General features: G+C 44.3%; 1 protein-coding gene and 1 long non-coding RNA gene across 12 annotated transcripts, besides 5 other annotated features; one reads left to right on the top strand and one right to left on the bottom strand.

Moving 5' to 3' along the window:
• On the bottom strand, nt 1–1,556 carry CAVIN3 (caveolae associated protein 3). The gene is made up of 2 exons (NM_145040.3): nt 1,148–1,556; nt 1–619 (listed from the first exon to the last, which is right to left on the bottom strand). The coding sequence occupies exons 1-2, from the start codon at nt 1,529–1,531 to the stop codon at nt 218–220; spliced, it is 786 nt and encodes a 261-aa protein (NP_659477.2). The 5' UTR covers nt 1,532–1,556; the 3' UTR covers nt 1–217.
• Nucleotides 196–27,424, top strand: LOC101927825 (uncharacterized). Of its 11 annotated transcripts, none has more exons than XR_007062567.1 (9): nt 196–752; nt 4,640–4,747; nt 4,949–5,090; nt 11,296–11,520; nt 14,671–17,803; nt 19,374–19,448; nt 23,309–23,446; nt 25,067–25,172; nt 25,471–27,424. It is a non-coding gene; the product is annotated as an uncharacterized LOC101927825 (long non-coding RNA). The 11 variants fall into 11 exon arrangements; XR_930992.4 differs by lacking the exon at nt 25,067–25,172 and having other exon boundaries at nt 14,671–15,703; nt 17,694–17,803; XR_007062569.1 differs by lacking the exon at nt 25,067–25,172 and having other exon boundaries at nt 11,225–11,520.
• Nucleotides 232–969: an enhancer, noted in NCBI's record as "H3K27ac-H3K4me1 hESC enhancer chr11:6340407-6341144 (GRCh37/hg19 assembly coordinates)". NCBI's record gives its function as "activates a minimal SCP1, AML or CMV promoter by ChIP-STARR-seq in naive H9 embryonic stem cells {active_cell/tissue: H9 hESC(naive)}" and the evidence as "EXISTENCE:reporter gene assay evidence [ECO:0000049][PMID:30033119]".
• Nucleotides 1,513–1,562: an enhancer, noted in NCBI's record as "active region_4336". NCBI's record gives its function as "activates an Ori minimal core promoter by ATAC-STARR-seq in GM12878 lymphoblastoid cells {active_cell/tissue: GM12878}" and the evidence as "EXISTENCE:reporter gene assay evidence [ECO:0000049][PMID:35858748]".
• Nucleotides 1,773–2,132: an enhancer, noted in NCBI's record as "active region_4337". NCBI's record gives its function as "activates an Ori minimal core promoter by ATAC-STARR-seq in GM12878 lymphoblastoid cells {active_cell/tissue: GM12878}" and the evidence as "EXISTENCE:reporter gene assay evidence [ECO:0000049][PMID:35858748]".
• Nucleotides 2,143–2,202: an enhancer, noted in NCBI's record as "active region_4338". NCBI's record gives its function as "activates an Ori minimal core promoter by ATAC-STARR-seq in GM12878 lymphoblastoid cells {active_cell/tissue: GM12878}" and the evidence as "EXISTENCE:reporter gene assay evidence [ECO:0000049][PMID:35858748]".
• Nucleotides 2,233–2,322: an enhancer, noted in NCBI's record as "active region_4339". NCBI's record gives its function as "activates an Ori minimal core promoter by ATAC-STARR-seq in GM12878 lymphoblastoid cells {active_cell/tissue: GM12878}" and the evidence as "EXISTENCE:reporter gene assay evidence [ECO:0000049][PMID:35858748]".
• Nucleotides 27,425–27,709: the final 285 nt, after the last annotated feature.

Below are 27,709 nucleotides of genomic sequence, written 5' to 3' on the forward strand. Positions count from 1 at the left end.
TTCGGGTGAAATTACTTTTATTGATGGTGAGCGCAAGCAGGTGTGAGTGACTGCACCTCTTTCAGAGGACACAGGACTGGGCTTAAGGAAGGGAGGGCCAGAGCGCCCGCCTTGGTGGATGTAGGATTCGCTCCTTATTAGGGCGTGAGTGCTACATTCTGAAAGGATTTATTTTGGGACAAGGCACAAGCACAGGGGAGGCAGGCAACACCAGCCCTCAGGCTACACTCTCCATTTGGAGCAGAGCTTCTTCGGCAGCCCCAGGTCTCCCGGGATCTTCCTCGGTGTCCTGCGGAGGCTCTGGCTCCAGCGTGGGCTCCAGCGCAGGCTGGGCTTCCGGCTGGGCTTCAGCGCTCCGGCCAGGCCCAAGGCGAGGCGGCTTGACCGGGGTGGGCGGTGGCGCTGCAGGGCCTTTCCGGCCCGAAAGGGCCCTTCGGAGGCTCTGTACCTTCTGCAATCCGGTGCGCCGCAGCCGCTGGGCCCTGGACTCCACCGGCTCCTCGTCCGAGCTCTCTCCAACTTCGGCCTCCAGCTGCTCTGGGCCCAGCTCGGACTGGTCCGCCGGGCCCAAGGGCTCTGGTGCCTTCTGGAAAGCGCTGGCTGGGACTTCACCCTCCTCCTGCATGTGACGGACACAGCACTGATCCTGGCAGCTCCTTACCCCCAGCAGCCCGAAACTCACTCCTTAATTACACAAGGGAAACCTTTTACCTCCGCAGCCAGAGTCTGGGGGGAAAGGCAGGCGTGGGAAGGTAAGGGGAGGGAAAGCTGCGTGCGAACTGCAAAACGCTGTAAAGTAGGTGAGGCCTGGTGAGGGGCGAGAAGAGGATAGTGCCCGCAGTCACGGAATGCCCTTTCAACCACCGTTATTTTAGGGATTGGCTGGGACTCAGACCAAATTCTGCGGACGTGGCCTGAGCTAGAGCTGGGCGGGCTTGGATTGGCCAGGCGGGGCTCAGGCGTGAGAGGGAGGGATGGGGCTGGGTCTTGGGAAGTGGGTGCGGCTCTGTGAGTCTGTTCCACAGCAACAGACGGCGGGAGGGGTCAGGAATGTGGGTGTGGTAGGTGGATGGAAGCGGGGAGCCCCCAGCTGGTGGCCCACAGGCCGGCAAAGGCCTCGGATTGGGGACCGTTTGAGGTCACTGACCTTGAAGAGCAGAACGTGGAGCTTCCCGCGCGCCACCAGCAGCCCGTGGTTGGCCTCCAGCCGCTGCACCTGGGCTGCGCGGCGCACCGCGCGCTCTTGGGCGGCGTTGGCGTGCGAGCTCACGCGCTCCGCCTTGGCCAGCAGCTGCGCCAAGGTGTTGCTGGTGGTGTCGTGGCTGCGACTCAGAGCGCCCAGGCCGCTCTGGATGCGGCGCACGGACCCTGCCAGGCCTCCCTGCCTTCGAGCCAGGCCTCCCTGCCGCTCCCGCAGAGTCTCCAGCATGGAGGCCAGCTTCTCCAGCAGGGTCACCACCGTCACGGCGTGCACGGGACCCCCCGCCGGCGCCTCGGGCACAGGCCCCCGCTCCAACGCACTCTCCCTCATGATCCCTGACCGCTCTGCTCCGTCTGCCTGCAACTGCTGGCCGCACTACGGTCAGGGGCCTCCTTTCCCTGGCTCCTCCCCAGCTCCAGCTGTGACTCAGGCAGGCGGAGTTGGCCTTCTGGGGCGGCGGGAGGGCGCGAGGGCGTGGGGATGTTGGCAGCGGGGTCTCTTGAAAGCGTTTCGCCTTCCGCTGTCCCGCGCCGGGGGCCTGCTGGGAAGCCTGTTGGCCCCAAATCGGCCCCCTGCAAACCCTCTCACTCTGAGTTTGAGTTACCCTCCTCCGCTCCAATTCCCTGGTGTGCCTGTTTCAGTTCTCCACTGCAAAGGGCGAGTCACGGAAATTTTTATTTCATGCATCTTAGTGGGCGCAGAGACTGTGTTGGCACGGCAAAGAGATAACCAGAGGGGCCTCCGTCGCCGTCCACTTTCGGCCTCCCACACCAGTGAAGATTGCCCCCAGGCTGGATGCAGGCGACAGGGAGGCCCTGGAACATTCTGCTTACAGATCGCGAACTGTCAAGGCCCGAGGCCCCGCTTTGTGACTTGGACAGGCTGCTCATTGTGGGCTGGCGGGCGGGGCATCCTCTGGTGTTTTCCTAATAGTCATCTCCAGGGTTTAGCCTCAGGCTTCGTTTCCTGCTTCTTTATTTCGTCCTCTTGGGTAGCATTATCTGGTTTCTTTTCTCTAGTTTTCTGCCCTCTCTTTCTTTGGGTTTCACTGGTAAATCTCAGCCGCCCCGGCCCCAGCACCCAAGCTTGGAGGATAAGCAGGACACCTTCACCTCTTTTAAAATCCTTAAAAGCGTTAGACTAGGCACTGGTCTTTGCTTTGATAGAGGTTACTTGGGCTCCTGCCTGACTTTTTTTGCTTGTTTGTTTGTTTCTTGTGTTCTGTGGAACTGCGGAGAGTAAAGATTTGAAATTGCTGCTGCAGAGAGGGAGAGAGTGGGCATGGAGGATCCAGTTAATGATGTGGATTGTGAATTTCTAATGTCAGCAGTTCGAAACATCCCATGCCTTAGCCGGGCGCGGTGGCTCATGCTTGTAATCCCACCACTTTGGGAGGCCGAGGGGGGAGGATCACGTGAGGCAGGGAGTTCCAGACCAGCCTGGGCAACATGGCAAAACCCCGTCTCTACTAAAAATACAAAAATTAGCAGGGCGTTGTGACACACGCCTGTAATCCCAGCTACTCGGGAGGGCTGAGGCAGAAGAATCGTTTGAACCTGGGAGGCAGAGAATGCAGTAAACCAAGATTGCTCCACTGCACTACAGCCTGGAGGACAGAGCAAGACTCCATCTCAAAAAAAAAAGAAAAGAAAAAAGAAAATCCCGTGCCTTGTTTGTAGCAATACTTGGCAAACCGTCTCACAAATGCAAGTAATCCATTAATCCTGATGATCTCTCTCCCTCTTCCTCTTCTCACTGAACCTGTGAGGGCCACTTGTTGACAACTGTGGAAGAAACTTGTGTCACTCTGGAAATAGTTACATGGGCCTGAAGTGCCACAGACGTGGGCAGCTAATGCCAGAAATCTGGTGATGCTAAGCTGATGGCTGATTTCTACAAATACAAGGCCATAAGCCTGACCCCTGCTGCTTAATACAAGAGAAAATAAGCTCTCTTGGGAATCTGGTGGGAATCACCATCTCTTCCAGTGAAACTACATTTACCCAGAGAGATCCATCAGGGATGTACCAGTTAAAATGCTTTCAGACTGAGGGAACAAAAACTCAATTCAAACAGTACTTAGTAACAGGAAACTCAATTCAAACATAATTGAAAAAGAGGATTGGTAGAGTGGTGATTAAGTGTGAGTCATTCACAGCTCCAAATCTGGTTTTCTACAGTTCTCTCCACTGCTCAACTATGAGCCCCATCCCGCACCTCTCACACTCCCCCATGTCCCCCACACACCCCCTACCCATGTGTATGTGCCCACATACGCACAGGTGTCAGCTTCATTCCAGGCCTCACAACTCTGCACAAGATCTTAAAAAAAAAAGGGGACCATCTTAAAATTTAGGACATTTATTTCCCAGAAGCCTCCCAGAATTTTTACACTTGCCTTCCACTGGGTTACATGGCTTTTCCAAATCCAAATTCTATGGCTACAAAAATGACATGCATTGATGGGTTTAGGCCTATGTTCCCTAAACAATCACTGACAAGAAATCTAATAATTGGCTTTTGACAAGTTAGATCAATTCTGAAGTAGAGTAGATTCAGCTTCCCCAGGAGTATTAGGGTGGTATGGGAGGAAAAGTGGATATCTGTACAAAAATCTGGGTACTACTGGGAATGGATATTAATATTACAGGAAGCCTATGAAAGAATCACCAGCTTTGATGAGTGGGGCTAAGGAAATTCAGTGCATTTGGAAGTAAGAAGTACTTGCATAGATACTTGGATAGATTTGGATAGATTTTTTTTTTTTTTCCTGAGACCAAGTCTCGCTCTGTCACCCAGGCTGGAGTGCAAACGCGCGATCTTGGCTCACTGCAACCTCCGCCTCCCAGGTTCAAGCAATTCCCCTGCCTCAGCCTCCTGAGTAGCTGGGATTACAGGCACGCGTGACCACGCCCAGCTAATTTTTGTAATTTTAGTAGAGGCAGGATTTCACCATGTTGGTCAGGCTGGTCTTGAACTCCTGACCCCATGATCCGCCCACCTTGGCCTCCCAAAGTGCTGGGATTACAGGCGTGAGCCACCGCGCCCAGCATAGACAGATATTTTTTTAAAACCTGGTAATGAAGTGGCATTGTTGTCTGGAGTAAATACCCGAGATTGGTTGTGTCACAGCTATGGAAAACTAGGACATGGACACACAAAGAGGTTCAGAGCAGAAGTTGAATAGGCAAAAGAAAAAGAAGAGCTCTCTGCAGCAGAGAGGGGTCCCAGAGAAATGGGTTGCTGGTTCCACCGTGGAATGCAAGGGATTTTATAGATGACCTTAAGGAGGCAGTGTGTCATTTACATAGGGCACAAAAGATTGGTTGGACCAGGTGTGTCATTTGCATACAGCTCAAAAAACTGGTTAGGGCTAGGTATGCCATTTGTATAGGCACAAAAAGATGGCCACCCCCACCCTAATCTTTTATTTTGCAGATGGGTTCTCTACCTGGCCAGTGCCATGTTGCCTGTTTCTTTACTGTAACTGTGGTGACAAAGAAAAGGGAAGATGGAGCCTCCATGTTGAACATACCTGGCCCCCAGGTAGCCCTTTTCTATTGACACAGCTGCTGGCATTCACCCCTGCAGGCTTCCAGCTTGCTTATCTATGTTTGCAGCTTGATTTTTCAGGCTGTTCTTTGTTAGAAAAGAAATGATTTGGGGGCTGATTTTTGTTAAAAGGGAAATTCTGCTGAGGACTCTTTTGCCCTCACTATCTGCCTAATTTTTTTCCATCTCCTGTAGCACTAACTCCCTCTCTGGATATCTGGAACAAGGAGGACCTTAAACTTAACAATAAAGCCAATGATGGTTCTACCAGTCTCCCCAAAGCCTCAAGTTTAAAAGCCATATGAACTGGCTGATAGTGGAAAATGGAAGCCATGAGGTAAGTAAAAATAACTTGGGGCCAGCTAGAAGAATGCCTGAGTCAATAATGCAGAGATTGACAGAAATTGTAGTAGAGTGACCTTGATTATAAAGTATCCAAGGAAGAACTGTATTGCAGTTTCCAAAAAGGGTAAGAAAAGAAGAAAACAAAGAAAGATGCAGAATGATGCCCTCTGTTCAAAAATAAACTTACGAACCTTAAAATTTTAAAGGGTTTATTTGAGCTAAGAACAATTCATAAATTAGGCTGCACTCAAGGCCAAAAGAGGTTCAGAGAGCTCAGCTGCAGCAGTGTGGGCAGTGAGCTTTTATAGGCTGAACATGGAAGTAAGACAAAGAAAATATATTTGATTCATTAATATGGAAATTCCCCTAGTTAGAGGTTAGTTGGTGGTTTCTGATTGGTAAGGTCCCTAGTTTTCTTTTACTTTTTACATTGGGCTTTGGTTTGCTTATGTAGGAATCAAATGTGGTGGAGCCATCTCAGCCTGATGGCTTCCCAATTAAAAAACTTTATAACACCTCTAAGGCAGTGGTCTTAAAAATTTCTATTCTTAGCCAGATGCGGTGGCTCACACCTGTCATCCCAGCACTTTGGGAGGCCAGGGTGGGCGGATCACCTGAGGTCGGGAGTTTGAGACCAGCCTGACCAACATGGAGAAACCCCGTCTCTACTAAAAATACAAAATTAGCCAGAGATGGTGGCACATGCCTGCAATCCCAGCTACTCGGGAGGCTGAGATGGGAGAATTACTTGAACCCAGGAGGCAGAGGTTGTGGTGAGCTGAGATTGTGCCGTTGCCCTCCAGCCTGGGCAACAGGGGTGAAATTCCGTCTCAAAAAAAAAAAAAAATTCTCTAAACTAGGGGTGTGGCTGGCATCTACTCTCTCATACCCCATGGTATGGACATGAAAAGTGGAAACTTATTGTCGCAGGTTGCTTGTGTCCCCAAAAAGATATATTTAAGTCCTAACCCCTGGTGCCTATGAATATGACCTTACTTGGAAATATAATCTTGCAAATATAATTAAGATGAGGCCATAATGAAGTAGAGTAGGCCCTTAATCCAATATGACTGGTGTCCTTATAAGAGAGGGAAGAGATACACAGGGAGAACACCATGTGACAACAGAGGCAGAGATTGGAGTTAGCTGCCACAAACCAAGGAATGCCCCAGAAACCGAAACAGGCAAGGGAGGATCCTTCCCTAGGAGCTTCAGAAGGAACATGCCCCTGCCAACACCTTGATTTCAGGCTTCTGCCCTCCACAACCATGACAGAATAAATTTATGGGGTTTCTGGCATTGGTGTTGGTGTTTTTGAGACAGAGTCTTGCTCTTGTCGCCCAGGCTGCAGTGCAATGGCATGATCTCAGCTCACTGCAACGTCTGCCTCCCGGGTTTGAGTGATTCTCCTGCCTCAGCCTCCTGATGAGCTGGGACTACAGGTGCCCGCCATCACACTTGGCTAATTTTTGTATTTGTAGTAAAGACAAGACAGGGTTTCACCATGTTGGCCAGGCTGGTCTCAAACTCCTGACCTCCAGTGATCCACCTGCCTTGGCCTCCCAAAGTGCTAGGATTACAGGTGTAAGCCACTGCACCCAGCAAAGTTCTGTTGTTTTAAGCCACCTAGTTTGTGACTTTTTTTGTTTTGGTAGCTCTGGAAAACTAATAACAACTTTGATTAATCAATATCAGTATTACAGTATCCCATTACCCAGGATGCTCCTGCAAATGGCTTCCCCAATTATGTGAAAGTATTAGAGTCTCTGTAGGAAAAGTTAATAAAACCTGAAGACTCACAGTAGAACACAGACAAACCAATAGTTGCCCAGATGTAATGAGTCTTGCAAAAATGAGTGGAATACTATGGTAGTTGAGCTAACAACTGCTTTAAAAAACTAAAAGGTATTACCCATCCTGTTTGTCAAGGGTTCCATTTATATACTGGCCCATCCCCTCCCCAGAGCACAGCCTACTATGAGGAAGAGTTGGCTGTACTAAGGAGAAACAAATCCACTACACCTTTCATCAGGCCTGGGGCTGTCTGAAATATATCTGCCTAACAAAGATCTGCTTAAGGGTGGCCCTCTGTCTCTACCTATTCAAGAACAGCTGGATGCTCCTTTCGCTTTAAGGAAATCTCTGAAAAAGACAGATCAGATCATAGTGCCTTAGATGGTATCATTCTGCATCTTTGTTTTCCTTCTTCTTTCAGTTGCCAGGTGCCCCACTATATGAAGTTGCCAAGATCCCCTAAAACAAAAGTGACAAAGGCACTGCCATTCTTCACATCATACCCAAGAGGATGAGTCTGTCCCACTGGGTTCAGAGACCATCCACCAGAAATCCAGCAGACAGGGATTACCTAGAATAGTAGTGCTTAAACTCAGGACAGGTAGTGAAACATGTAACACCTCCTACTGCAACAAAGAACAGAGGGAGGTGTTAGAGTCAGCAAATGCTTCACCTTGGAATTTTCACACACTCTATATCTTGAGTCCTCCAAAAGGCTACATACTTTCAGTAGGATTGAGAGAAGCCTCAGTGACTAACCCTGGCAAGTTACAAGCCACAGTATGGTCAATTCTATCCTTTGGGTCCTACAAGTCAGAAAGAAAAATGAGACCCTGAAGTCTCTGTGATTTCTACCTCTTCCACCAAGATGATTTGTCAGGGAGGGAGGAGGGCAGATCCTACAGGGGAAAATACAGCATAAGTATTTAGGATTTTTGACTAAGGAATGCTTTTAGCAGCTGAGAATTGTACTGCTTTTGAAAAACAATTGCTGGCTGATTACTGGAGGGGAATAATAGTACTAGAGGAGAGACTCGACAGAGGTTGCTGAGTGGTTTTGTGAATTGGAACCCTTTGTCTTACATAGCAATAGAGCTTAACAGTCTTTGATTATTAAATAGAAAAATCAAAATCTAAGAAAGGATGAGAGACATCTATGTGAGCTCATTACCAAAGAAATATCCCTGACCAGGACCCTCACTTTCATCTGCCCAGAAAAACTGATGCATCCTCCAGGCACTAACCTTTAAATCAAAAGTAACAATGTGAGGCACAGACAGACCACTCATTTAACAGGCAATGTGCCTCAGTAGACAGGCACTACCTTCCACCCTTTGTCATAGACATCCTGTCTACGGAAGAGGTAAAACCATTCCACACAATGAGGGAGCTCTGTGCCCCTGGCAGTTACAATAGCTATAAGTTTGAGGCATCAGGAAGTGAATTTGTACTGACTCCAGAAATCAAAATATCCAAATGGATGGAAGATCTCGGAATGGTATATTATGACCAGTAGGCTTAGGGATGCCTTTTATAGCAAGAATCACGCACATTATTCACTCAAATGACTATTTTTGTATCTCATATTTTAGTATGTTGAATAGTGTCTTAGTCCATTTTCTGTTGCTATAACTGAATACCACGGGCTGGGTAATTTATAAAGACAGAAGTTTATTTAGCTGATGGTTCTGGAGGCTGGGAAGTCTGACAGCTTGGTGCTGGCATCTGGTGAGAGCCTTTTTGATGCATCATAACATGGCGAAGGCATCATATGGCGAGAGGGCAGGAGTGTGCATGTCAGCTCAGGCCTCTTCTTCTTATAAAGCCACCCGTCCTATTTTGGGGACCCCACCCTGTTGACCTTATCTAATCCTAAGTACCTCCCAAAGGCCCCACTTGCAATCAACATATGAATTTGGAGATTAAGTTTCTAACACATGTAATTTGGTGGACACATTTAAGCAATAGCAAATAGTGTCCCCCCAAAAGATATATCCAAGCTCTAACTCCTAGTACCTGTGAATATGACCTTTGCAGATATAACTACATCTTTGCAGATATAATTAAGTTAAGGATCTTGAGATGAGATCATTCTAAATCAAATGCCTGGTGTACTTATAAGTAGAGGAGAAGCCACAAAGACACAGAAAAGACTGTGCTGTGAAAATGATGGAAGAGATTGGAGGGCAGCCACAAGCCAAGGAATACCAAGGATCAGAAGCTAAGAGAGAGGCATAGAGTGGATTCTCCCTCAGAGCCTTCCAAGAGTGAGTGGCTCTACCATACTGATTTTGTACTTCTGCCCTCTTGGACTTTGACAGAATACACTTCTGTTGTTTTAAACCACTTAATTTGTGGTAACTTGTTATGGCAGACCTAGAAAACTAGTACATATGTAGACACTACCAAAAAGATTAGGGATAGAAAAAACAATTTAAAAGCAAGTAAATCCATCAATATGTCATGGATGTTTGTTTTGGCCAAGGCATACTGGGGGCATCAGAGCACCAGACACCTGAGATAAGAACTAGGTTGACCCAAGCTCACATTGTGAAGTATGTAATTACTGCTGGAGCCAATTGTCAGGATGTAGGAGTTTGGGCTCCTTCTGCAAAAATGCCCTGGGACATTCCAAGAGGCAAAAAAAAAAAAAAAAAAAAAAAAGTCTGGAATTACTAAATAGACTCTATTGAGTTTCCTTCTGTAATCTGAGGAATTCAGTGGGCTCTGCCAGCAAGGAAGCCTTGCCTGGGTTTGAGTTTGCATTCTTAGGCAAATCACTGAAAAGCCACCATCAAAGGACTGCAGCCCTCCACCTTGAGCTAAAGCCTCTAATCCAGGAATATATTTTACCACCCATATGATAAAGGACAGGGCAGATCATTGGAGGATGATGTGCCTTACCTCTTACCTGGATTGAGAGATAGAATGAACCACTGAAGAGGGGCTTGGCCATGATTCCATGGTCAGTAATTCCAGATGGGTGGTGACTTATAGACTATTGTATATAGCTAGAGCCCTGCAACAACTTTTATCTTAGCATAGACATTCCCCTTTGTATCTGGGGCTGAGCCCAAGGAAAAAGAATTCATTTTTAGTCATCCAGTATCTACCACAACTGGGAAATAATTTGATTTTTATAAGATTTAGTCACTACATTAGTTAAATGGTATTTAGTTATGAATTTTGTTTGAAAAATAACTATCATTTGTTTAGTGTCTAAAGAATAGATAGTTGCTAATCAATTCAACCAAGGAAGGGAAAGAAGTGGGTCTACCCTGGGTAAAGAAGAGCATTGCTCTTCCACCCCATGCCACTTTAGGGCAGTTGACATGGTTTAGCAACATTGCACAACACAAATTACCCTACCGAATATTTCTCATCTTATTTGGATTCAGTGGGTTTTAGAAGCAGGACAGAAAACTGCTCAGTACCAGATCATATGTACAACAATCCATTTACTAAGCCAGCCAGGGAAGGCAGTAGAGAAGAGTTTGAAAGAGTTAAAATGTTTTAATAGGTCTAAAAGCTTACTCACTTAATCCAAAGGTGAGAATGATTCCTGAGATTAGTAGACTTGTTCTTAAGAATGGTACCTCAACTTTTTGGCACTGAGACCCCCATCCAGTTAAGTGTGATCATATCACAATAATCCATTGAGTCCCCCAGAGATAGTATACAGTGCAAAACCAGTGTACTGCCTGCTATTCAACTTGCCTGTCTATAGGAACTGCAGATTAATCATGACTCCTTATTATTGTGTGGATTTGGATGAAGGAAATATTGATTGTCACAGGTAGGATTAGGGTTTAAGATACTCTTTTTGTCACCAACTGGCATTTAAGTCAGATGAATGGGCTAAAGAGCAGTAAGCAAGGCACTCCTGCCCATAAAGAATGCAGAAGACTGCTGCAGTGCCTGGACCTGGCAAAAGAGACCAGAAGGGAAGAACTAGCCTTGGAGTCAGGTCTCCAACCAAGTAGATCTGTCAGAGATTGATTTGGTTGGGAAGCTAATGGAGGAGGAGGAGTACTGTAAGTAGCTGAAACCATCTAATTGATGTGGGCTAAAGATGATTTAGAGAACTAAGAAAGGAAAGAGAAGGAAGGAAGGAAGAGAGGGAGGGAGGTGAGCAAGGGGAGGAAGGAGAGAGAGACAGAAAAGAAAAGAGAAGAAAAAGAAAAGAAAGAAAGAAATTTACTCATGTATACTTCCACACTAAAACTTGTAAAAGATATTGAGGCAACCATATACTTACACAGCTCCATCTATAATGGGAAAATTTATGGAGACAGAAAAATGTAATGTTCGGATTGTACTGTACTTTCAAAGGTTGAAAAGTGAATCCTCAAAGGAAAAATGGAAACTACTCTTGAACTTGTTGGGATTTGAAATTTCCTCAGGAAATCAGATTAGAGTACTACCTGGTGAAGCCTGGAGGACCTACCAAGAAAAGCAAACTTGGATCTTTGCAAGGTTAGAAGAACGAATGGGATCCAAGAAAAAGACTGGTCATATTCAACGGCTAAGAGCGTTGGAGAAGGCCTGTGGAGTCTCAGCAGGTCAGGTCCATGACTCATGAGTAGACACCTGTGTTTCTACTGCCTGGTGCCATAATCATAAACAAGGTGAGCAGGGGCAAATAAGATCCTAGTTCAGTACTATTCACTATAAATATAATGTATGTAATTTAAAATTTTCTAGTAGCCATATTTTAAAATTTTTTTAATGAAATTAACTTTTAAAAGATATTTAGTTTAACTCAATATATCCAAAATATTGCCATTTTAACATGTAATCATATTTGTTAGGTATTAATTAGATATTTTACATTCTTTTAGGTCTCTGAAATCTGGTATATATTTTATATTTATAGAACATCTCAATTTGCATATTAAATGTTCATTAGAAATGATGGCTCTATGTTTAGACTTTGATAAAAGAAAAACTTCAGCCAAATTAAGTTTAAAGGAGTTTAATTGAGAATGAATGATTCGCGAATTGGGCAGGCGCCAGAATCACAGCAGATTCACAGAGACTCCAGGGGTGCCTCGTGGTCTGAACAAATTTATAGACCAAAAAGGTAAAGTGACGTACAGGAATCAGAAGTGAAGTACAGAACGAGTGAAATTGGTTACACTTGGCATTTGCCTTATTTGAATGCAGTTTGAACATTCAGTAGTCTATCAGCGGTTGAAGTATGGCCCCTGTGATTGGCCAGCACTCCGCTATTGTTACAGGTGCACACCACTAAGTTAGGTTTTCAGTTTTATCTGACTATTAAGCTAGGTTACAGTTCATCTACCAAGACTCAAATATGGAAGTACAGAGTCCTTCTCAGGCCATATTTAGTTTGCTTTAACACTTCATAAAATTTATAGTTACATACCCAAGTAATTCCAAATATACTTAAAAGTTTCCAATAACTGAATCAAGTATCAGTTTTTAAATTTAAATTTAAACTAATTAGAATTGAATTATGTGGGATATGGGATGAGAAGAGAAAATCAAGAGTTAATCTCTGCAGGAAACTGGGCCTAAGGTTCCCTTATTTGATTGATGTTTGTATTTTTTTTATTTTGGTAAAAATTGACTCCTGTGTAGACAGTAGAGTGACAGATGAAGAGCTCAATCCCACATAGAAATAAAAGGTGGAGGCCGGGTGCAGTGGCTCACACCTATATTCCCAGCACTTCGGGAGGCTGAGGCAGGCGGATCACCTAAGGTCAGGAGTTCAAGACCAACCTGGTCAACATGGTGAAACCCTATCTCTACAAAAATACAAAAATTAGCCAGGCATGATGGCAGGTGCCTGTAATCCCAGCTACTTGGGAGGCTGAGGTGGGAGAAATGCTTGAATCCAGGAGACGGAGGTTGCAGTGAGCAGAGATCACGCCATTGCACTCCAGCCTGGGCGACAGAGCAAGACGCCATCTCAAAAAAATAAAAAGAAAGAAAGAAAAGAAAAGGTGGAATTAATGTCCCAAGGCTCTAAATTTCTTTAGAAAAAAGAAATAGTCCTCCATCAAACTGAGCACATTGCTGCCTCAGGCAACTGGGCACTGAGAAAATGCTCTCTGGTCTAGAGTTACTGACTCACATCACAGAGCTTGGACCAGTTGCTAATCAGTTCTTGAAGATGGGGGAGGAGATAAAAGGTGACCCTGAAGTTGCTCCCCTCACCATCCAGCCCAGCTTTTTGGACCTCTAGATCCTTCCACCCTCCTCTGTGCCACCTATTTGCTGATTCTACCCTTTTATATATGCAGTCAATCCTCATTATTCATGGATTCAGCATTTGCAAATTCGCCTACTTACAAAAATGTATTTGTAACCCCAAAATCAACACCCAGGAGTTTTTGTGGTCATTTGCAGACATACACAAAGGGGCCAAAAATATCAGTTGCTCAACAGGGAATATTCCCAAATGACATCCAGTAAGACAACTCTCTCCCTTCTTGTTTCAGCACTGGTACTGTAAATATTAATACGTATTTTTTTCACGATCTATGTAGTGCCGTGTTTTCAATTTTTGTGGTTTTTATTGGTGATTTCACTGCTTACTGTGGCCCCCAAGGGTAGTGTTGAAGTAGTCTGTTGCTCCTGAGCACAGGCTGTGACGTGCCTTAACAGAGAAAATACAGGGGTTAGGTAGGCTTTGTGCAGACACAAGCTATAATGCTGTCAGCTGGGAGTTCAATGTTAAAGAACCAACAATATATATTAAATAAGGTGTTTTTGAACAGAAACACATATAAAACTATGTTATGTATTGATTGGTTTATGAAAATGTTATGACTATGGGATTGTAGGGACCTAACTCTGCATTTTCCGCAGAAGAAATGGTTCAGTGGTCACTAATTCAGTGTTCTCAGCAATTTTATAGATTATAACTACAGCAGATAATGAAAATTGACTATGTATATATAATTTTAGTGCAATTTTCTGTTTTTTCAACTTATAACCCAGGTATTACCTAGGTCCCCCTTTGTTCCTTAGAAATCTGAGTTTGGACCCTACCAATTCTATTGCCTTTGAAAGTCTAAAGTTCTCCAGGACAGGTAGAGGCTGCTCTACCTGTCCAGGAGAACAGCCAAGAGTGAGCCAAGATCACGCCACTGCACTCTAGCCTGGGTGACAAAGCGGGACCCTGTCAATAAATAAATAAATTCTCCCAGAAATATTTGCTAATTCCTGAACTCTATTTAAAAAAAAAGAAAAAAACAAGAAAAACAAAAACTACTGCCTTCTACCTCCTTCCCACCCTGGCCCTGGAGGGTAGCTACTCTAGTGATTTCTAACAGAATTGATTTTTGTTAGACAGTAGTAAGCCTTTCATGTGTACGAATTAAATTAATCCTCACAATGACCCTCTGAGATATGCAATATTACTATCCCATTTCACAGTGAGGAGATGGGGAAACAAAGAGATTAGATTACTTCCCAAGATCACACTGCTGATAAATAGCAGGGCTGGGATCCAACCCTGGCATCTGCTCCTTAGGCAAATAAACCATGTTACCAAAAATATCACAGCGGCTGGAGAAGCAATCTGAATCCAGTGAAATTGGAATTGTTGAAAAAGAAACATTCACTGCCACATAACTATTTGCATATAGCTTCACATACTCTTTCAATTTATTTCTCTCACTTGCTACCCAGTGAAGGAATCAGGAGGATCAGAGAGGAAGAGGAATATGCACAAAGGCCATAACTCTAAGTGGCAGCATCAGGGTTTGAGCCTGGTCCAAATTAAACTTCATCTCCATTTCCCATAGGAAGAAACTGAGGACAGGAGGGGCCAAACAAGTTACAGTTTCATCCCTCCAGAGAGCCAACAGAGTATTTTGCACGAAGTTGAAGCTAAACAGGTATTATGTCCTATCTCTGGACTGAATGACTAGATGCTACTCAGCTTCTGAACTAGAGGAAGCCTGGGACCTTGACCGCACTAATGCTGATGACAGCGGATTTGCAAGTGGCTAGAGGTACCAGATTTAGCAAATCAAAATATAGGACGTCAAGTTAAATTTAAGTGTAAGATAAGCTACGAATACCTTTTCTAGTATTAGTACGTCCCATGCAATATACTAGAAATGTTATTCGTTATTTATGTTAAATTTAATTTTATTAGGGCATCCTATATTTTACCTGTCAATCCAACCCATGACCTAGGCAGACACTGTAGAAAAACAAAAGGAGAATTAAGGAGATAAATGAAACACAGGGTGAGCTGAAAAGAGGTGCTCTGTGAATTTGAGGGTCCAGTAGGAGCTGACTTGTAGGTACTTGGTCTGTTTTGATGCCCACAACAACCTTGGGGAAGGGGCGGAATAGCAGAGGGGTAAGCTCTCTGCCCCCCACCAGGGTTCTGCAGGACGCCAGGGCTTTTATCAGCACCCCTATGTTCACATCCTGGCTGCACCCTCCTTGGTTGTATATACTCTGGATAATTCACTTAATTTAAATCTTGCTGCTTTTATAAAATTGATAAAAAGTTAATAGTGACACTGATCACACTGATGTCCCTCAATGAATTATCAATATGTTTTTTCTTCCCACCTATATTCTTTATTGAACTCTGTTATTTTTGATCCTGGTCTAGAGTAAGCATTATGACCATGCAAGAGTGAAATGAAATTTTTAAAAATAATTTTTTAATGTTTTCTGAATGCTGGGTGTTTTCAATGATCATGCATGACTGGCAGCAAAGAGGAACGAGGATGGATTCGATAAGGTGCAACAAGTCCTGAACACACACAGAGAACTGGCTGTGAATCCTGTTTCTGCCACTCACCACTTACTTGTTGGGTAACCTTAGCCACTTCATTTATCCTCTCTGATCTTCAGGCCTACCTCATGTCCTCCCCAAAGAGATGGTGGGTAAGAGAGAACTTTGCAAAAGGCTGCCAGAGCATAAATAGGTCTTATGACTATGTAGCAGAAAAATGGGACCTCAAAGAGGAGAGAGACCTGCAAAGCGGGGGACTGCTGCCATTCTTTGAGTGGTGGCTCAAAATATTTCCCCAAACTGTCCCCATCTGGTCAGGATGCCCCACAGCCTTTTACTAAGATGGTGTCTTCATCTAGCCTCAGCCCAGCTGCAGTACCTTTCTGGAACTCCCACCACTGATGCTCAAGAGGAGAGTGTAAGTTCAAGAGGGTTAAGCTCTCTACCCACCCGCTCATCCACAGTCCCTCAGACAAGCATGCAGATACATGCTTTGTTTGGTTGGTTGGTTGGTTGGTCGGTCGGTTGGTTTTGTTTTGAGACAGGGTCTTGCTCTGTTGCTCAGCTGGAGTGCAGTGGCGCAGTCACAGCTCACTGCAGCCTCGATCTCCCAGGCTCAAGTGGTCCTCCCACCTCAGTCTCCCAAGTAGCCAGGACTACAGGCACATGCCACCACACCTGGCTAATTTTTCAGTTTTTTGTAGAGATGGGGTCTTACTATGTTGCTCAGTCTGGTCTTTAACTCCTGGGCTCAAGCAATCCTCCTACTTTGGCCTCCCAAAGTGCTGGGATTACAGGGGTGAGCCACCGTACCCAGCCCAAGAATGCTTTTAGATTGTACTCTCTAAAAATTAATGTTTGTTCCTGGGAGTAATGCATGAGCTAATATAACAAGTCTATTAATCAAATGAACTGACATAATTCCTGCTAACACATGTAGGAATATTGAAAAGGAAATTCAGCCAGGAAGCTCTAAATCCACAACAAAGTGCAAGATACTATATTATCACATTGAAAAACACAATCCAGCCACCTGAAACAAGCAGTGTGACCCAAAAGCCATTTTCCTAAATTTGTTGAAGGGTTTCTCCAGCCCTGCACTGTCCAATATGATAGCCACTGGCCACATGTGGCTGTTTAGTTTTAAATTTTAATGAATTAGAATTAAATAAAATGTAAAACTTAATCCTCAGCTACATTATCCACATTTCAAGTGCTTAACAGACATATGTGGCAAGTGGCTACCATATTGGATGCATCCCTCTCCTCAGTACAATCCCACAGGGTGAGTGTGGTCCTCAAACTCCTTCCCAAACTTCCAAGTCACCAAGTAAACACCACAGGCTTCTCTGAGAGATGAGAAGAAAAAAATAAGGAAATCTTTCATTTAGCCAAAAAGCCATGTCTTGACAAGAAAAGATCAATATAAATAAAATTACAGGGCAATTATTGGAGAAGTGATCTCTTCCATCAGCATTTGGACCATTTAAAGTAGATACAAAAGGATATAGAAGACTAGTTTCCGAAACAGCCCCATGCTTTAGGACCTGGATCGGGACTTTCAAAAATATATACTTTTTTTTTAACTTTTATTTTAAGTTCAGGGATACAAGTGCAGGTTTGTTACAAAGGTAAATTTGTGTCTGGGGGGTTTGTTGTACAGATTATTTCATTACCCAGGTATTAAGCCTAGTACCCATTAGTTATTTTTCCTGATCTCCTCCCTCCTCCAACCTTCCACTCTCTGAAAGGCCCCAATGTCTGCTGTTCCCCTCTATGTGTTCATATGTTCTTATCATTTAGCTCCCACTTATTAGTTAGAACATGCAGTATTTGGTTTTTGTATCCTTAGGATACGAAAGGATAATGGCCTCCAGCTCCATCCATGTCCCTGCAAAGGACATCATCTTATTCTTTTTTAGGGCTGCATAGTATTCCGTGGTGTATATACCTTTTAATGTAGATTACCTTGATTATGGGAACAATGTTGTTACAGATTTTATCGTTTTTGAGAAAGTATAATGAAAATTGTGTCTAACAAAGTAATAAGATTCCTTTCTGTCTATATAGTGAAAATGCTCAGGATGTTCACTGCAGCCTGCCTCACCCTGGAAAAGAGATGTGAGGATAATGAGAAAGAAGAGTATGTTCAGTGCGGAGCATGCAAATTTGCATGAAAAGTAAATGTAACTTTGTGCCTAACTACAACTGGCTCCCACAGATATTTTAGTTCTCAGTTTTAATAACAAGTGTCCAGCACAGAAAAGCCTAGAACATAAAAGGGCCCGATACAAATTTACTGATTTAAGAAAAAATAATGTTTGTTTTCCTAAGAAAGATAAAGCACCAGTAAGAAATGAATCATACTTGCAATGAGATAGATAGATAGATAGATAGATAGATAGATAGATAGATAGATAGACAGAAAAAAATAAGCTAAATTTAAAGTCAAAAATCCACTGTCAATTGGATAAGAAATTGATGTTTGAGTCTAAAAAGTAAAGCTGGTCTTTATTTTGTCCAGATTTTATTTTATTTTATGTGTGATAGGGTCTTGCTTGCTCTGTAGTCCAGACAGGAGTGCAGTGGTGCCACCATGCCTCACTGCAGCCTGAACCACCTGGGTTCAAGTGATCCTCCTGCCTCAACCTCCCAAGTAACTAGAACCACAAGCATGTGCCACTATGCCCAACTAATTTTAAAATTTTTTTTATAGAGATGTGGCCTCTCCATGTTGCCCTGGGCTCAAGTGACCTTCCTGCTTCTGCCTCCCAAAGTTCTGGGACTACAGGCATGAGCCACCTCACCTTGTCTGTCTTTCTCCTTAATCCATTTCATGTTGTTTATGCTTTTTTTTTTTTTCTCTGAGATGGAGTCTCAGTCTGTCTCCCAGGCTGGAGCGCAGTGGCACAATCTGGGCTCACTACAACCTCCGCCTCCCAGGTTCAAGTGATTCTCCTACCTCAGCCTCCCAAGTAGCTGGGATTACAGGCACGTGCCACCATGCCCGGGTAATTTTTGTATTTTTAGTAGAGACAGGGTTTCACCATGTTGGCCAGGCTGGTCTCGAACTCCTGACTTCAGGTGATCCACCCTTCTTGGCCTCCCAAAGTGCTGGGATTACAGGCATGAACCACCACACCCAGCCTGTTTATGCTTTTAACCAGTATCTACACTGGTTACAGTTTCTTTACCAAGTGAACTGACTCAAACCTTCATTCATACCCAAAAAGTCTGAACCCTTCATGAATTAGCCTAGAATGATGTCAATGTTTTAAATAGCCTTTGCCACCAGGCATGGCGGTATAAGAAGTCATGCCACCAGCTCTCTCACTTTCTAATTCTATTCCTCCAGGCCCCTATCATAATGCACCTTGGTCAGGTGCCACTTTTTTGCAATGAGAAGAAGTCTACTCAAGCTAGCTAGGCCTTCCTGGGATGAGAGAATCTTTACCACTCTGGACCATGCCAAAACACTGAGGACAGTAGCCACATTCTTTTGAGGCTCTATTGCTTGCAAACCTACTTCCCAGAATCCATTTCTCTTCTAGACATAGGTCAGTTGGTTGCAAAGAACAGAAATTATCTCAGGTAACTTAAGTGAAGGAGGGTTTATTGTAAGAGAATTGGCAGCCACCCCAGCCCCTAAAGTAGACTGTTGAAACAATTTGTTGAGTCTGGAGCCCTTCCTGAATTAACAAAAGGGAGGATCCATTAAAGGATAACACAGCTTATTTATTATTTCAATAGCTTCCCAGGCAAAGCAGGAAAGAAACCAGACCTCTTTTCTGCACAATAATGGGGCCCACTAACTCTGGGGAAAAGGTAAGGTACCTTCTAATTGAGGAAATATATCCTTTTTCAATATGAGTCTAGATTGTACTCTTTAAAAATTAATGTTTGTTCCTGGGAGCAGTGCATGAGCTAATATAACAATTCTATTAATCAAATGAACTGACATTGTTCCTCCTAACACATGTAGAAATATTGAAAAGGAAATTCAGCCAGGAAGATCTAAATCCACAACAAACTGCAATCTTGGAGTCTCTTCTTCCTTCCCCACCCCCAACCCACTTCTATACACACAATTTTGCAAGACTTGGATAAAAATAGTCACCATTTTTATCTGGTTAAAGTCCTGGGGACCCTACCTCTAATTGGCACACTCAGACCGAGACACTTTGGTAAGGTAAGAACGGTAAATTTGGAGAGAGAGAAAGAGCCAAGAAGTGAGATCCCTCCTTGTGGATAGGTGTGGGGTTTTCCCAAGGAAATTGATGGAGTTTCTAATAAATAAAATCTTAAAAGGAGGCCCATGGAGAAGGAAAAGATGTGCATCTAAAGGCCAGAGAGCTTGTGAAGGATCTGGACCTGCAGGTAACATCGCTTTGAGAAGTAAAGAGAAACTCTAAGGAGTGTTTTATTCTTTCCTCTTTGATGTACAATCACTCTTCAGAAATTGCCTCTTTAGTGAAGAAACCTGCATAGAACCACTTAGGCTGTTGGTAATTTTGAAAAGACTGGAAAGAGAGAACTATAGAGGAAAAGGGAAAGAAAGACTTGCCCCAACCATCACCTCTGATTTACTGGAGAGAGACATCAAGCGGGTGATAATGTAACCACCCAATGTGTTCACTGTGCCCGCTGCCTAGACACAGCTGATTTATCAAGACAGGGGAATTGCAGTGGAGAAAGAGTAATTCACACGGAGCCAGCTGTGCGGGAGACCAGAGTTTTATTATTATTCATATCAGTCTCCGCAGGCATTAGGGGATCAGTTTTTAAGGACAATTTGGCAGGTATGGGCTCCAAAAGTGGGGAGTGCTAATTGATCAGGTTGAAGATAAAATCACAGGGGGTCAAAGTGAGTTCTTCTTGCTGACTTCTGGGTGGGATCACAGAACTGGCTGAGCCAGATTATCAGTCTGGGTGGTGTCATCTGCTGCTTCGGCATGCGGGGTCTACAAAACGTCTCAGGCACTGATCTTAGGTTAGCTAATTTGTTAGTTCTACAAAGGCAGACTGGCCCCCTGGCATGAAGGGGTTTTTTGGGAAGGACCGTTATCCATTTTGTTTCAGAGTTTAAACTATACACTAAATTCCTTCCCAAGGCTAGTTCAGCCTACACCCAGGAATGAACAAAGACACTTTACAGGTTAAAAGAAAGATGGGGTCACTTAGGTCCGATCTCTTTCACTGACCTAATTTCCTAAGTTATGACTTTTGCAAAGGTGGTTTTAATAACATGGAGCTCCCGATGGTGACAGGCCACACTGAGAGCAGGGAGAAAACATCCATGGTGAGGACATAGCACTGCAGAGATGACAAATCTCAAGGGGCAATAAGATGCTCTTGCATTTCCCTATAAATTAGAACATGCTGCCCTCCAAAAGAGGAATTGGGGAAGGCTGGACATTCAAAGTGATCATTTATCATTTGGTTAATATTAGTTCTAACCCACATATATGTACAAATATATATAATTTATATAAGTCTATATATATGTATGTATATATATTTATATAGAGACAGGCTCTCGCTATGTTGCCCAGGCTGGTCTCAAACTCCTGGGCTTAAGCCATCCTCCTGCCTCAGCTTCCCAAAGTGCTGGGATTGCAGGTATGAGCCACTGTGCTTCAAGTCCAAAGTTCCACACATTCTGCTATACTCACACCACACACCTTCTCAGCATTTCCACATCCTTTCTTGCTTCCACATTCAGTTCTTCATGAATCTGGTGTCAAGCACAGCTCCTTTATCAATTTTCGTAAAGAAATGTACTCTGAAGGTTTTGAGGATTGGTCATGGGATATGTAATATGAATGTGTTGGGGCTCAGAAAATGATACCCCAAGTGAAGGCCTCAAAAGCAAAGTTTCTCTCTGGCCTTCTCCTGCCCCCATCTCTCGCCCCTCATTTTCCCCCAAGGAAAGCCATAAAAACTATAATCTCAGCCCGGCGCGGTGGCTGACGCCTGTGATCCCAGCACTTTGGGAGGCTGAGGTGGGCAGATCACCTGAGGTCAGGAGTTCAAGACCATCCTGGCCAACATGTTGAAACCCCATCTCTACTAAAAATACAAAAATTAGCCAGGTGTGGTGGCGCATGCCTGTAATCCCAGCTACTCGGGCAGCTGAGGCAGGAGAATCACTTGAACCCAGGAGGCAGAAGTTGCAGTGAGCCGAGATCATGCCATTGCACTCCAGCCTGGGTGACAGAGTAAGACTCTGTCTCAAAAAAAACCAAAAACCAAAAAACAAAAAAAAACAAACAACAACAACAACAAAAAATAGCCAGGCGGGGTGGCTCACACTTATAATCCCAGCACTTTGGGAGGCCGAGGTAGGTGGAGCACCTGAGGTCAGGAGTTCAAGACAAGCCTGACCAACATGCTAAAACCCTGTCTCTACTAAAAATACAAAATTCAACCAGGTGTGGCAGGCATCTGTAATCCCAGCTACTCAGGAGGCTGAGGCAGGAGAATCCCTTGAACCCGGGAGGCGGAGGTTGTAGTGAGCTGAGATCGCGCCACTGCACTCCAGCCTGGGAGACAGAGCAAGACTCCATCTCAAAAAATAAAACAAAACAAAAAAACCTAGAATCCTTCCCCAAGGTGGGTTATAGAAACCAGAACCCCTCTCCCCCAAAGCCAGCCATAAAACCTAAAAGTATTATTCTAACCTTCCCCTGACTTGCTGTGTAAGAGCTGCACATAAAGAAATCCCCGGCTGGGCATGGTGGCTCACGCCTGTAATCCTAATACTTTGGGAGGCCAAGGCAGGAGGATCGCTTGAGCCCAGGAGTTCAAGACCAGCCTAGGCAACATAGCCAGACCTCATCTCTACAAAAAATGTAAAAAATTAGTTGGGTGTACTGGCATGAACCTGTAGTTCCAGCTACTTGGGAGACTGAGGCAGGGAGGATGGCCTGAGACTGGGAGGTCAAGGCTGCAGTGAGGCATGATCATGCCACTACACTCCAGCCTAAGTGACGGAGTGAGATCCTGTCTCTAAAGACAAAAGAAGAAATAAAGTGAGAAAAAAGGGAATTATTTTTAAAAAGAAAGAAATTTTCTGGCCTATCTTGTTTAATAGGAGTTTGTAAGACCCCCATTCCAGAAAGGGTCCTGCCCCATACCTGAGAGGAAGGATTGTTGTACAAAGAGGCCAAGAATCATCTAAACAGTTGCAGTCTGTTCCCATTAGGTCATACCCTTTTTGTTCAATCACATTTCCACACAGCTGTCTATTCTTTATTGAACCCAAGCATAAAAAATGGATAGCTTTATTAGTCGGGCATGGTGGTATACACCAGTAGTCCCAGCTACTCAGGAGCTGACACAAGAAGATCACTTGAGACCAGGAGTTTGAGGCTATAGTGAGCTATGATTGTGCCTCTACACTGTAGCCTGGGCAACAGAGTGAGACCGTCTCCAAAATAAATAAATAAACAAATAAATATAGTTTTCCCTGTATCTTTGGGTCTGCATTCTGAAGTCTCCCATGTCATATAAAAGTATGATTAAATAAATATGTTATGCTGTTCAATTGTTAACCTGTCGTTTGTTACAGGAATGTTGGCTGTGACCCTCATGATGTAGAGGAAAGTGATTACCAACTTTCTGTCCCTGCAAATGTCACAGACTCTACACACCACACTCTTACTCTTTCTTCCCTCCCTTTCCAGAGTAATCAGCAAATGCCTTTCCTTTCTCCTGCTGATGTTTTGCCCGTACTCAGACCCCTTGACTTCTTAGCTTCTACCCAAAGTGAGCTTGTCATCAAAGTTCTCCAAAAATCTGCAGTGTTCTCTTGAGCAAATCTGGTGAGTATAATTTCCTCATCTCATAAACTTAGGATCAAATGACCATCTCACAAAATCCCAGGACAAGAAAAGCCTGGGAAACTAGATCAAGCTTAGACAGCCAGACTTCTCCCTCCGATTTTCAAGCCTCCTGATCCCTCCGGTCCCCTTCTCTTTATGTGCCTGCTCCATTCTGCTTTCCTTGAAGCTGAGCTTTCTGAGGCTACTTATACATGTTGTGATAATAGCCATCCCAATTCAGCTCATGTGCCTACCATCAAATCCATCAAATGATTGCAGTCATTGTGCTGTATTTAACTTTTTTTTTTTTTTTTTTTTTTTGAGATGGAGTGTCACTCTTGTCACCCAGGCTGGAGTGTAATGGTGTGATCTTGGCTGACTGCAACCTCCACCTCCTGGGTTCAAGCGATTCTCTTGCCTCAGCCTCCTGAGTAGCGGGGATTACAGGCACCCACCACCACGCCCAGCTAATTTTTGAATTTTTAGTAGAGACGGGGTTTCACCATGTTGGCCAGGCTGGACTCGAACTCCTGACCTCAGGTGATCCACCTGCCTCGGCCTACCAAAGTACTGGGATTACAGGTGTGAGCCACCATGCCTGGCCTCATAGTTTAATTCCTTGAGCAATAAAGAGAGGGAGCATCTAACTGGTAGCCTTGGGTCAGATCTAATCAGCTGTTGCCCAGGGGTAATGAAATGAGATGAAAGTCGGTTATGGCCCACTCTTACAGGATCTGTGGTCCAGGTAGGTACAGAAGTTTATCTAATCAAAGTAGCTAGCCTATTTATTCTCAGTGGTTGTTGGAGGATTTCAGGGCACTGATATCCCAATTTCTTGTTCTAGTTCTCAACGAACTGGGAAATAAAGTAAAAGAATAAGGTAATAAGAGGCCGGGCATGGTGACTCACACCTGTAATCCCAGCACTTTGGGAGGCCGAGGCAGGCAGATCGCCTGAGGTCAGGAGTTCGAGACCAGCCTGGCCAACATAGCAAAACCCCATCTTTACTAAAAATACAAAAATTAGCCAGGCGTGGTGGCAGGCACCTGTGATCCCAGCTATTCAGGAGACTGAGGGAGGAGAATCGCTTGAACCCGGGAGGTGGAGGTTGCAGTGAGCCGAGATCATCCACTGCACTCCAGCTTGGGTAACAGAGCAAGACTGTCTCAAAAAAAAAAAAAAAAACAAGGTAATAAGAGATCAAAACCACAGTATTACTGATAAAATTCACATTGGCAAATGTGGCTTTATCATTTAGCAAATGGGTCCCTTGATTCTGAACACCAGAATTAGGGAGACTAACCCACCCACTCACAGATGGTATACAAAAATTATAGCTTCCCCCTTGATTTATATAGAGGAATCAATATTGACCATGAGTTTATTATTGTTAAAGTGGGTAATGGGTACGTGAATCTTTATACTATTATCTCTCCTATTTAAGTACTCTGCATTTAATAACTTTTTGGAGTAAATCTAATCGTGCAGTTATATCTTCCCCCAACGCTCTGAGAGAGAGATATCAGAAACATTCTCTTCTTTTTGCAAAGTGTAGAAATTTGCAATGATGCCACCTCAGTCATTAGGCCTTATTGAAGGGATTTTTTAATTTCCATCCAGCCTGCTCAAATTTTCCTATACAGTTCAATACACTGATTGAGGCCAGGCGCGGTGGCTCACACCTGTAATCCCAGCACTTCGGGAGGCCAGACGGGTGGATCACGAGGTCAGGAGATCGAGAACATCCTGGCTAACATGGTGAAACCCCATCTCTACTAAAAATACAAAAAATTATCCGGGTGTGGTGGTGGGCACCTGTAGTCCCAGCTACTCGGGAGGCTGAGGCAGGAGAATGGCGAGAACCCGGGAGGCAGAGCTTGCAGTGAGCCGAGATCGAGCCACTGCACTCCAGCCTGGGCGACAGAGCAAGACTCCATCTCCCAAAAAAAAAAAAAAAATACACTGATTGAGCCCCAAGCTCTGGCATCCCAGTGTACCCCAAGTGCATGCCTGTTGTGTTGCAGCTTCCAAGACTATAGCGCTCTGATGCATTGAGATGACAGCAAGCGGCATTTTTCAGTCCTGTTACCCATATGGCTGCTACCACTGCATCCTGTTAAATAATGTCTTCAACCCAAGAAACCTGCTTCCTAGGGAAGTTTCTCTCTCTCTGCATTTGTTCCCACTAGAGAATGACCATCACCAGATTCCTGAACTGAAAATGCTGTTGACACTTTGGAAACTCGGGCCTCTATTAATAGGGTGACCAACTATCCTGGTTTACCTTGAGTACAGGATTTTCAATGCTAAAACCAGAAAAACCAGGATGGTTGGTCATCTGCCTCAGACCTAATAAATACCAGTCAATAATTCAGCCATGAGCTTTCTTAAGACACTGTCTTTTCTTGACTGTTGAATAGTCTAGGACTTGAGTAGCAGCTCTTTCTGCTACTGGACACTTGTTTTACTACCCTATTTCTCTAGATTTTATTTTGTGGCTAATAATTAAGACATAAAATCATGGGTTCTGGTTATGCCAAAGCACTCACTCTTCAAAAGTTTCCATCCAGAGTTGGATAATCCCACACAGAAGGTGTTCTTTCAACAGACCAGCATCCAATAGACCCAATGCAGCATTTTTCTTCCTGGTTCCACATTAATACATCCTATCTCTGCTATGCTTAGGTCCCTGATTTATAAATATTTCAGACATATTTTCTCAGGACACAGGGAGTACTTAAACTTCCACATAGCAGAGATACGACATACAATAAGCTGTTATCTGGAAACTCCTAGTGATGCTTTGAGTACTTTACAGTAATCTTTCTGGTCTTCCTCTCAACCCCATTAAGTTTTTCTGTAACTAGCTGGTGTATCTGTCTCCATCTTTAAGGAATAAGTCCCTATTTGCTCATGCTATAATCTCCCTCATGCTCTCCGTCCCTCCTTCCCTCTCCTTCTCTCTTTCTGTCTCTCTCTCTCTCCACCCTGATTGTGAGATGCTACACCTTAATAGTTTTCTATACCTAGATCCCTTTTGAAGGAGTAATTTCAGCCATCACTGAAATCTATGCTTTTTTATCTTGTTAGATTTATTTAGGACCTAATGACTGTTTCTGAGCTAATAATAACGCAATCAGCTCATATTTTTCTGATACTCTAAGAGCAATTACATCTAGTTGCATCACCTTTTCCTTTTTTATTCATGTATCTTAGGCTTCTCAAGATATGAGACTAGCACTTGAGCCTGAGATAAGCCTTAAGAATTCCAGGATAGTCTCTCCATAGTTCCCTTTCTTGGATAAAGTCATTTCAAAACATCTTAGTGGATCAGATTTGGAGCAGCCTACTTACACTGGTGAATACCACAACTAATAAATAATTGTTCTGCACCCCACCCACATCTAAAGGATTCAGGGTGTCTTTTACAGATATAGGACTCTCCTTTCTCTGTTTCTCTTCTCTCTCTTCTCCTTGATTAAAGCTTTGCTTCAGCTGTCCCTGCTCACTACGGCACTGCACCTCACCAGCATCTTCATGGCCCTCACATGGCTCATGTGCATATCCTAACTCTGATACTAAGGGAGGAGACCACCCCTCATATTGTCTTATGCCCAATTTCTGCCTCCAAAGAAAGAAGAAGTAAAAACTAAAAGGCAGAAATGAAATCCACAAGCAGACAGCCCGGCGCCACACCCTGGGCCTGGTAGTTAAAGATCGACCCCTGACCTAATCGGTTATTTGCATAAGAAAAGCACTGTGAAGATCCCTGTCCTGTTCTGTTCCATTCTAATTACCGGTGTATGCAGCCCCCAGTCATGTACCCCTGCTTGCTCAATCGATCACGACCCTCTCACGTGGACCCCCTTAGAGTTGTGGGCCCTTAAAAGGGACAGGAATTGCTCACTCGGGGAGCTTGGTTGTTGGAGATGTGAGTCTTGCTAAAGCTCCCAGCCGAATAAAGCCCTTCCTTCTTAACTCGGTGTCTGAGAGGTTTAGTCTGCAGCTTGTCCTGCTCTAATACCTGTGTAGTTCAAGAATAATCTACAGCACATTACACCCAAGGCTCTCACTTTGGCTATAGTTGTGTCTTTACTGAGCCATCCCCCAACCCCGCCCACAGTGGCATCTGGCTAAGGCCTACCCTTTTGAATATTAAGGACACCCACATGCACCTTGACAGAGACATTTTGGCTGAAGGCAGGCAAGACCCATCTACTGTTCCCCTAAGGTCAGCCCAGAGCCCTGCCTCTATTAAAAACA

The sequence above is a fragment of the Homo sapiens genome, chromosome 11 (assembly GCF_000001405.40).
Source record: "Homo sapiens chromosome 11, GRCh38.p14 Primary Assembly".
Taxonomy (NCBI): domain Eukaryota; kingdom Metazoa; phylum Chordata; class Mammalia; order Primates; family Hominidae; genus Homo; species Homo sapiens.

Bases quoted from the DNA above. Each gene is read 5' to 3' on its own strand.
- CAVIN3 (NM_145040.3), bottom strand. From the start codon at position 1,531: ATGAGGGAGAGTGCGTTGGAGCGGGGGCCTGTGCCCGAGGCGCCGGCG. The intron at 620-1,147 runs GTCAGTGACCTC...CGTCACATGCAG, and splicing joins TCCACGTTCTGCTCTTCAAG to GAGGAGGGTGAAGTCCCAGC.